At 34.1% G+C, this 8,452-nt stretch overlaps 1 annotated feature.

Moving 5' to 3' along the window:
• Positions 266-457: a silencer, noted in NCBI's record as "fragment chr4:136746018-136746209 (GRCh37/hg19 assembly coordinates)". NCBI's record gives its function as "represses an EF-1alpha promoter that drives an FKBP-Casp9 reporter gene in an ReSE screen in phorbol 12-myristate 13-acetate-treated (for megakaryocytic differentiation) K562 erythroleukemia cells {active_cell/tissue: K562(+PMA)}" and the evidence as "EXISTENCE:reporter gene assay evidence [ECO:0000049][PMID:32094911]".

Raw genomic sequence — 8,452 nt, forward strand, 5'->3', positions numbered from 1 at the left:
TGCTACAATTAAAAAGATGTTTTCAGATAGTGAGATATTATATATACAGTTACAAATTAAAATATAACATCCAAATAATTATTTTCTTTTGTAAATTTATTTCAGAATTAGCGTATTATATATAGGTTTGAGAAAAAATAACTTTCTCATAACATACAGAAAATTGAATAGTATACTAATAAATATGCATCTGATTTTAAAGTTTTAATTTTGGATCTCTAGTTTTATGATGAGCTGTTAATCCCAATACAATCAAACCAACCTCCTTATTTCAGATAGAGACAATGAAGCAAGTGACATGGCATCAGGGTGACCAGCATGGCTGCTCAACTCGGCACTCTCACCACCCCAAAGTGACCTCAAATGCCCTTTCTCTCTTCCCATAATATCTGTGTATTTATATATTTCTGTATCAACCTTCAGCCTTTATCACCTAGACATGTAATACTGTTTGGCACTCCACAGCATTTCACAAGATCCCTTGAGAAATTATATACGTTTCTAAAAGAGAATAGAATGCAAGTTATGTGGGTCACAACCATTTGTTCCAAGACTCTGTAATAGAGTAAGCTCAGCTATACTTGCTTTATGTAGACATGAGCAATGTCTCTGAAGAAATAAACCCACAGTGGTTTTCAGTGAATTAGAAAGTGCAGCAGAGCCGGATTTCAAAGCTGTCTTCCAAATTTCACAGATGAAGCCAAGCCATAATGATGACAATTTGTTTTATTAGTAACCAACCCTCCTAAATGTGATCTAAAAGGGGTCAACTTCATATTGTTCATTTTATAGTGAACTAGTATTAGAATCAGCTTCCTGGGGTACATATTTTCAACCCAGCATACTTAAAATGCACTTGATTTTAATCTAGTGTTTTCTCTAATATTTTTTAATTTTTTTTAGTATTCAGTTTGAAAAACTATATACATAACTCTTAAAAGATAAAGAGATGTAAATGTATTTTTTTTTTTTTTGAGACGGAGTCTCGCTCTGTTGCCCCGACTGGAGTGCAGTGGCATGATCTTGGCTCACTGTGTAAACGTAATTCCAAATGGCATAAGCAAATAATTTTATAATTTTATACCTATCGCATTAGAATATCTACACATCTGTATGTAATTAGATGCTTTAACATGATGCATCTATATGTAATGCACACTCTAATTTGTGCTAGCCAAAACCATTATAACATGCTTAACACATTTCGTTCATGAACTTATATATTTCAACAAAAATAATAATTTAAATTAAGTGATTTATTTTATTATAATAGGTACTACCAGGGAAGGTATAGAGAGGGTCATAAAAGATTGTGAAATTATGCATGGAAAAGAAACATGAGCATTAATGATCTGACTTGGAACGTTCCCAAAACAAATAAATGACCAATTTTTGATGTGATGGGTATCCTTGTTACCCTGATTCAATTATTATACATTGTATACTTGTATAAAAATAGTACATGTAATGTGTAAATATGTACAACTATCGTATATCCATAAAAATTAAAAATTAAAAAATTATAAATAGTGTGCTATTTAGGGTTTAGAAGGATTATTCTCTCTGCTGTTTCAAAAGTAAATGTGTGACAGAAAGCCCAGTTAGGTGCTTGTTAAATAGTAATTTAATCAAGAATTGTTGTCCTGCACTAAGTTATTGGCATTGGGTATGTAGATAGTGTTCATCTATATTTATAAAATAGTTAAAAGATTACTGGAATGTCAAGTCAATCTCAGTCTTGAAAAGTATCCTTATCTTCCAAAATATTGGTATTGGGATAACCCACTCTAACAATGATAAACTTCATATGTGACTTTCTGTTTAAGTATAATAAGACACTTTGGAGTTTCATATTCTGTCACTTCTTGTAATTCTATATTTCAACCTAGAAATATAAAATTTAATACTGGGCCATAAAAATTCAAAGTTTGTATGTGTATGTATATACATATATAAATATGTATATATATTTCTACAAATATGTATATATATTTCTACATATATATTTATATATAAAATGTATGTAAATATATATATTTACAGTTATTTCTTTTGTATTGACATTTTAAACCCAGGTTATAATTTTTTTTCACATATTTTTTTACCAAAAACTTGACAGAAATAGAGACTAGCACAGTGCCTGGCTAATCACCATGGTGCCCAACTAGCCACCTTTTGCCTGCTACAGTGAACTTTCAACAGAGCACCCAGAGAGAGCCATTATTCTCAGCAAACTAACACAGGAACAGAAAATCAAACACCACATATTCTCACTTATAAGTGGGAGTTGAACAATGAGAACACATGGACACAGGGAGGAGAACATCACACACTGGGGCCTGTCAGGGGGTGGGAGCCAAGGTGAGGGAGAGCATTAAGACAAATACTTAATGCATGCGGGGTTTAAAACCTAGATGACTGGTTGATGAGTACAGAAAACCACCATGGCATGTGTATACCTATGTAACAAAACTGCACGTTCTGCACATGCATCCCAGAACTTAAAGTAAAAATTAAAAAAAAAAAAGAGTTACAAAACTCTCATATACCACTTTGCTTTCATACAGTAAAAAATTAATTAATTAATTAATTAAAGTCAGAACATATTGCCTGATCGAAATCAACAAATGATTTCCTATTTCACTGAGAATTAAAAACTAGTCTTTACTTTGACATGCAAGGCCCTGCTTGTACTTTGCAGATCTAGACTTCTGCTACTCTCCTCTTCTCTCTTCACGTATGTTGTAACCACACAGCCCTCCAAACTGTTCCTCCAATACATCAGACATGCTTTAACTTTACAGCCTTAGTCTTGCTGTTTTCTGACTCAAACTCTCTTCCTCCCCAATGTGGCTGATTGTTTCCCTCATTGCCTTCAAGTCTTTTCCCAATTAACACTGTCTTAGGGAGGACTTTCTTAAACACCAACCTTTGAAGAGCAACCCTCCTCATCCCACGTTGATAACACTTTATCATTCTCTTCCTGCTTTCTTATCTATTTTCTACATATACTTACCCAAGCTCATGTTATACACACAGAGTTTATTTATTGTTTTCCCTCTTCTGCAGCCTCTGAAGGAATGAGATAAGCATTATTATTTTGGCCATAGTTTTTTACCTGTAGAGTAGGACAGTGCCTGTCATTATAAGTGGGAAATGTAGGGAGAGACAAAAACTTGCTGCTAGCGAGTTGAAGGTAGCCCCAATTGATGGACTATTACTTTTTTTTTTTTTTTTTGTCTTTTCCTTTTTCTGTGAAGTAGTAGACAAGGACAACTACAGACGGTGAAGGTTGTGAAAAGTTGAGAGAGAAGGAAAATCTATTTTTGCTTAAGTTTTAAATCAGAAGTAACCCTTTATGTTAAAATTCAAATGCATTGTAAGAGTTCTCATTGAGCAGAAGAACAAAGCAGCAGGGCAGAAAACACAAGTAAATTAATTATTGCTTTTGTACACACAATGGGCAAATCAAAGAAAGAGGCCACATCCATTCTCAGAATTTTCGAAAGTACATGCTGCCAGCTCTTTGCCAGCATATCTCAGTGTAATAATTCTTAAGAAAAAAAAAAAAAAAGAACGTTATACTTAAGAAACATAACTGGTCATCAACCATGTGAAGATTTAGATTGTAAATTCAGAAATGAAATATTAAACATTCTAAAAACAGAATGATGTTGGGCAAGAACCAGGGCATCTCTACACTGAGTGAGATCCAGGTTGGACCAGAACAAAAATTGTGCTCGCTGAGGTCTAAATAATAGCTATACATCCTATGAAAAAATTTTTGGCTTGGCCCACAATGTCTTAGGGAATTGCGGTAGGCAGAATTCTGATATAGCACCATTTCCCCAAGATTCCCCACCTAATTCTGGAATTAAAGTATGTTGGATATTGGAGTTATGATTATACATTACCTTAAATGACAAAAGGAATCTTTTCTATGTGAGGATTTTTTCAAAGGTAATTAAGGTTGCTAGTCCGTTAACTCTCTACTTTAATTAATAGTGTGATTAACTGAGTGGACATAATCAAATCACGGAAGCCCTCTAAAAGGAATGTTAAACTTTCTGGCTTTCTTTGGCTGGTAGCAAAAGAGAAAGTCAAAGAGACTCCAGGTGTGAGAAGTATTTTACCTGCTGTTGCTTGTTTGTACATGGAGAGGGCCGTGTGATGAAAGATACAAGTGTCCTCCAGCAGCCAAGTGCAATCCCCAGCTGACAGTCAGCAAAGAAACAGGGACTTCAGTACTGTAAACATAAAACAATGAATTTTATCAACTTAACTGTGCCTTGCAGAAGACTCTTCCTCACATCCTCTCTACATTAGTCTAGTCTTATCAGCATCTTCATTTCAGCCTTAGAAAAACTTAAGCAAATAACTTTGATGAACCAGTTAATTCTGGCCTACAGAACTATTAGCTAATAAATGAGTGGTGTTTAATTCACTAAGTAATTTGTTATACAGCCAGAGAAAATTAATCCAAGAATTTTGCTCAATTTTAAAATAGGAGTTATGGCTTTACTTGAAGAATAGAAAAATTTTGGAAAATCCAGACTTTTTCTGGATGGTACAAAAGGCTGTTCGCTTTAGATGAAACACAATCACTGCTATTGCAACTGTTTCATTCTGGACACGCTATTCCTTTAGGTTCAACATATGAATATTTGAGTTTTGATCCCTGCTCTAAACCATACTGACCAGAGATTCTCACAGGGATTCTTTACAGATGGTAAAATATATTTTTCTGTAGTACTATGCTGTATATCTTATTAGTAGATGCATACATATAGGCTTACTAATAAACATTTTAATGTATATGGTCTAGAAAATTCTGTTTCCAGAGTGTGATCCAAAATTTTAGCCTTTAGTCTTCACAATGTATCAAATTCTCTTGTAGTTCATATTTGAAACATAAACTAGTTGACTAACTCCCTTTCAATATAAAAGACAGATTCTGTCTTAGGATCTGCAAAGCTAGCTAAAAAGCACCTCTTACACAGCATTTATAATATTTAACTTTAAAATAAGAGTTTACACTATTAAGTTTGGATGACAGCATTACTTATATGATGAAAGGCTTAAACTTTATAACAATCCCATTTGAATATTTAAAAATCAGTGATACAGATCAATATTTTATAATGGTGTATATATTTACAGGAAAGTATAAAAGATTAACTCCCAATCAATGTATCCAACTCCACAAGTTGACAAGGAAAGTTAAAGTTCATGTGCAAGAAAACAACACTGTCTGCAGATCTTAAATTAAATGGTGTACCATGGTTCATAGTAATGAGATTCTGGTAAGTAGAGAAATAGTTGTCAAAGTTGTTCAGGTTGCATGATAACAAGGGTTCCAGTAACACTAAAAGTGTTTTGGGGGGATTGTTTAACCTACATAAAATTTTCAATGCTGAGCTCTTCATTTGGTAAGGAGAAAAAAAAAATTATGAATTTTAAGCAGGCTTGACCATACCATCTTCAGGGCAAAATGCTTGTCAATGTGTGATCTGAAAATAGTACAATCAAGCACATTGAAAATTCAGCAGTTTTTCTCATAGGAATGGATGTCTTCCTGACAAGTGAACACTGGGTTTTATTTTGGCCTGGGGATTTGTTTTGATAGAAAAATTTATTTACTCGAGATAAATCTTATAAACTATGAAAACGAATCAAAACTTCAAAGTTATTTTCTATGCAAAATGCATAAATGAGCTGACTTTTTTATGATTGTTATCTTTGAACAAAGATATGATTACTCATCGATCAAATTAGGTTAAAACTCCTATGAGTCTAATTTTTTGGTTATACATAGTTTATGACAATACAGGATACATTTTCTAATTTGAGTGCCATATGATTTATTGATAAGGAATTGTTTTCTTTTCCCTTTTAATATCTTGTTACATACATGTTAACTATTCAGAGAGCAAAGTATTGATTACTTTATAAAATCAAAAAATGAATATATTTAGTTTTTAGGTATTATCTGATGACAAACACATGCATTGACAGAGTTTCAACGCAGGAATAGAGGTAAATTATTGTAAAATAGTGTAAAATACTATTTGTATGTTGACACAATAGTGCCAAAATATCATGTCTTTGTTGCATTATATTCGAGTGTTAAGAAGTATCAACATGTGAAATTTGAATTAAATATTTTAGAAGCTAAAAATAAGCACAAGTAATAACTGAAAAGAATGAGGTGGGAGTGAGGAGAAACAAAAATGTTTCTTTTAAAGAAATATTTTCCAGAATGAACAAGTGATTAATGTAGGTGGCATATTTTTTATTTGTTTTGTAGTTCTGGATCTGGCCTGATGGGAATAACAATTTTACCCTTCCTGGTTACATCATGTTATTTCTCGGCTCAAATACTCCAAGAATGAATCTCATTCAGATTAAAAACCAAAGCCCTACGATGTTCACAAGCTCTGATTTCTTTTGCATCTTTGAGTTAATCCACTGCCTTTCTCTATTTGCTCTCTCCAATCCAGCCATCCTGGCCTCCCAGCAGCCCCTCCAAACCCAGTGCTTTCCTTGAACTATTGCTCCTGGTTAGATAGCTCGTCTCTAGAGAACTGCATGGATTAACTCATTTCCTTCAAGGGTGAGCTAAAATGTCATCTTTTGAAAATATTTCTTTTGCACACTTTTAAAAGAACCGAACGTACCTGCCCTCACCTCCCATTTCACACCAGAACTCACTCTTCCTCTTACCTACTTTCTTCACTTCTGTAGCATGCATTCATATCTAAAATATTTTACACATATAACTTATGTGCATGTTAATTTTGTTAGTTTCTTAAAGAGATTGCAGAATGTCAGCTCCAGAAATGCTTACTAAAGAGAAGTCAGGAACAAAATATTTGTTCAGTAAATCACATATATACGTTGGTGCAAAAGCAGTTCTGGTTTCTGCCATTACTTTCAATGGAAAAGACTGCAATTACTTTTGCACCAACCTGATACATGTTTTATAAGGAGTTATATATGTATCACACCTCCATTTCTGTTGTGTATGTGATATGTATATATCACTCTTTATAAAATGATATATATACATATCACTCCTTATAAAATGCTTATCACTTTAAGACATATAGAAATTTCACTATTAAAAATAAATTTAAAGCAAAACGTAATGAAGATGGTGGTACTGAAAACTAAGGGTGTAAATTAGACTCTATACCAAGATATGTTAAACTCAGATATACACGTAAATTTTCTTTTATGCCTGGATTATCTGGAAAAAGCTGACAGGCTTAGCCTGTCAAAATTAAACCTGCAATTGCTATGGACTCACTGTTTATGTCCCTCCAAAATTTATATATGCATTCACGAATCCCCACTGCAGTGGAATTTGGAGATAGACCCATGGAAGTTATTCAGGTCACAAAAGTAGAAACTTCATGGTGGGATTAGTGCCCTTATATGAAGAGGTATTAGAGGACTTGCTTCCTCTCTGTCTCTCTGCTATGTGAGGACACAGCAAGAAGGCAGACCAGGAGAGGGTCCGCGCTAGGAATTGAATTGGCCAGCACCTCGATCTTGGGCTTCTCAGTCTCCAGAACTGTGAAGAAATATTTCAGTTGTTTAAATCACCCAGTCTATGGTAGTTTTCTTATAGCAGCCTGAAATGACTAAGATAACGTTCTTACTCCTAGCTGACCAAGAATATACTTCAGACCCGAAGGATGAAATAAGCAGTAATTTATAGTTCTTGGTAGGTGTCTTTCAATTGGTGCAGCATGTCTTAGATGGCTATTCACAAATTCTTCTTCCCTGGGTCTCCCTGCCTTTTACTGTTTCTAATCATCTTCATACAGTGTCTCAGTTTGATTACTCTACTGTTCCCTGTTTTCCAGTGTATGCTGCTTCCGTGCTTTACCTCGTTCATGTATTAGCATTCTGTTTTGCATTCTCACATTATTCAATCTGGGCAAGTCACAAGACAAGCAATCTATTCACTTGATAATGCTAATTGCTTCCCAGCTAAATTATTCCTCCTCTGCCATCATTTTGAACTAGATTTTTAAAAACTTTTACCTAGTTGAAGTATCATTGACAATGATAAGAATACTTGACTTTTTGAAACCTGTCCATGAAACACTTCCCATGGCAACCAAGCCTCATAATTTCTCCCTTGTCAGAATGGACCTAAGAATTGGGTTCCAAACTCTGAAATTTTACCCTTGATCTGCTGATTCTGTAGACTTTTCTGACTTGTGTTAGTGTATGCCTATTATAACGAAAGAGGTGCTCAGCTACTATTAATTGTGCTAGCTAGATTTTGACTCTTGGTTATTATAGAACAAAATGTTACATACTTTATTAAAAAACAAGTTTCCTCTAACCAGCTGTCCCCATTAGGCAGTGTTATGTTCTCTGAATAGATCTCGTGAAAGAGCTTTGCTATTTCTCTGTATCCACACTCTATGCCCAAATC

Source organism: Homo sapiens, chromosome 4, assembly GCF_000001405.40.
Source record: "Homo sapiens chromosome 4, GRCh38.p14 Primary Assembly".
In the NCBI taxonomy this organism is placed as follows: Eukaryota; Metazoa; Chordata; class Mammalia; order Primates; family Hominidae; genus Homo; species Homo sapiens.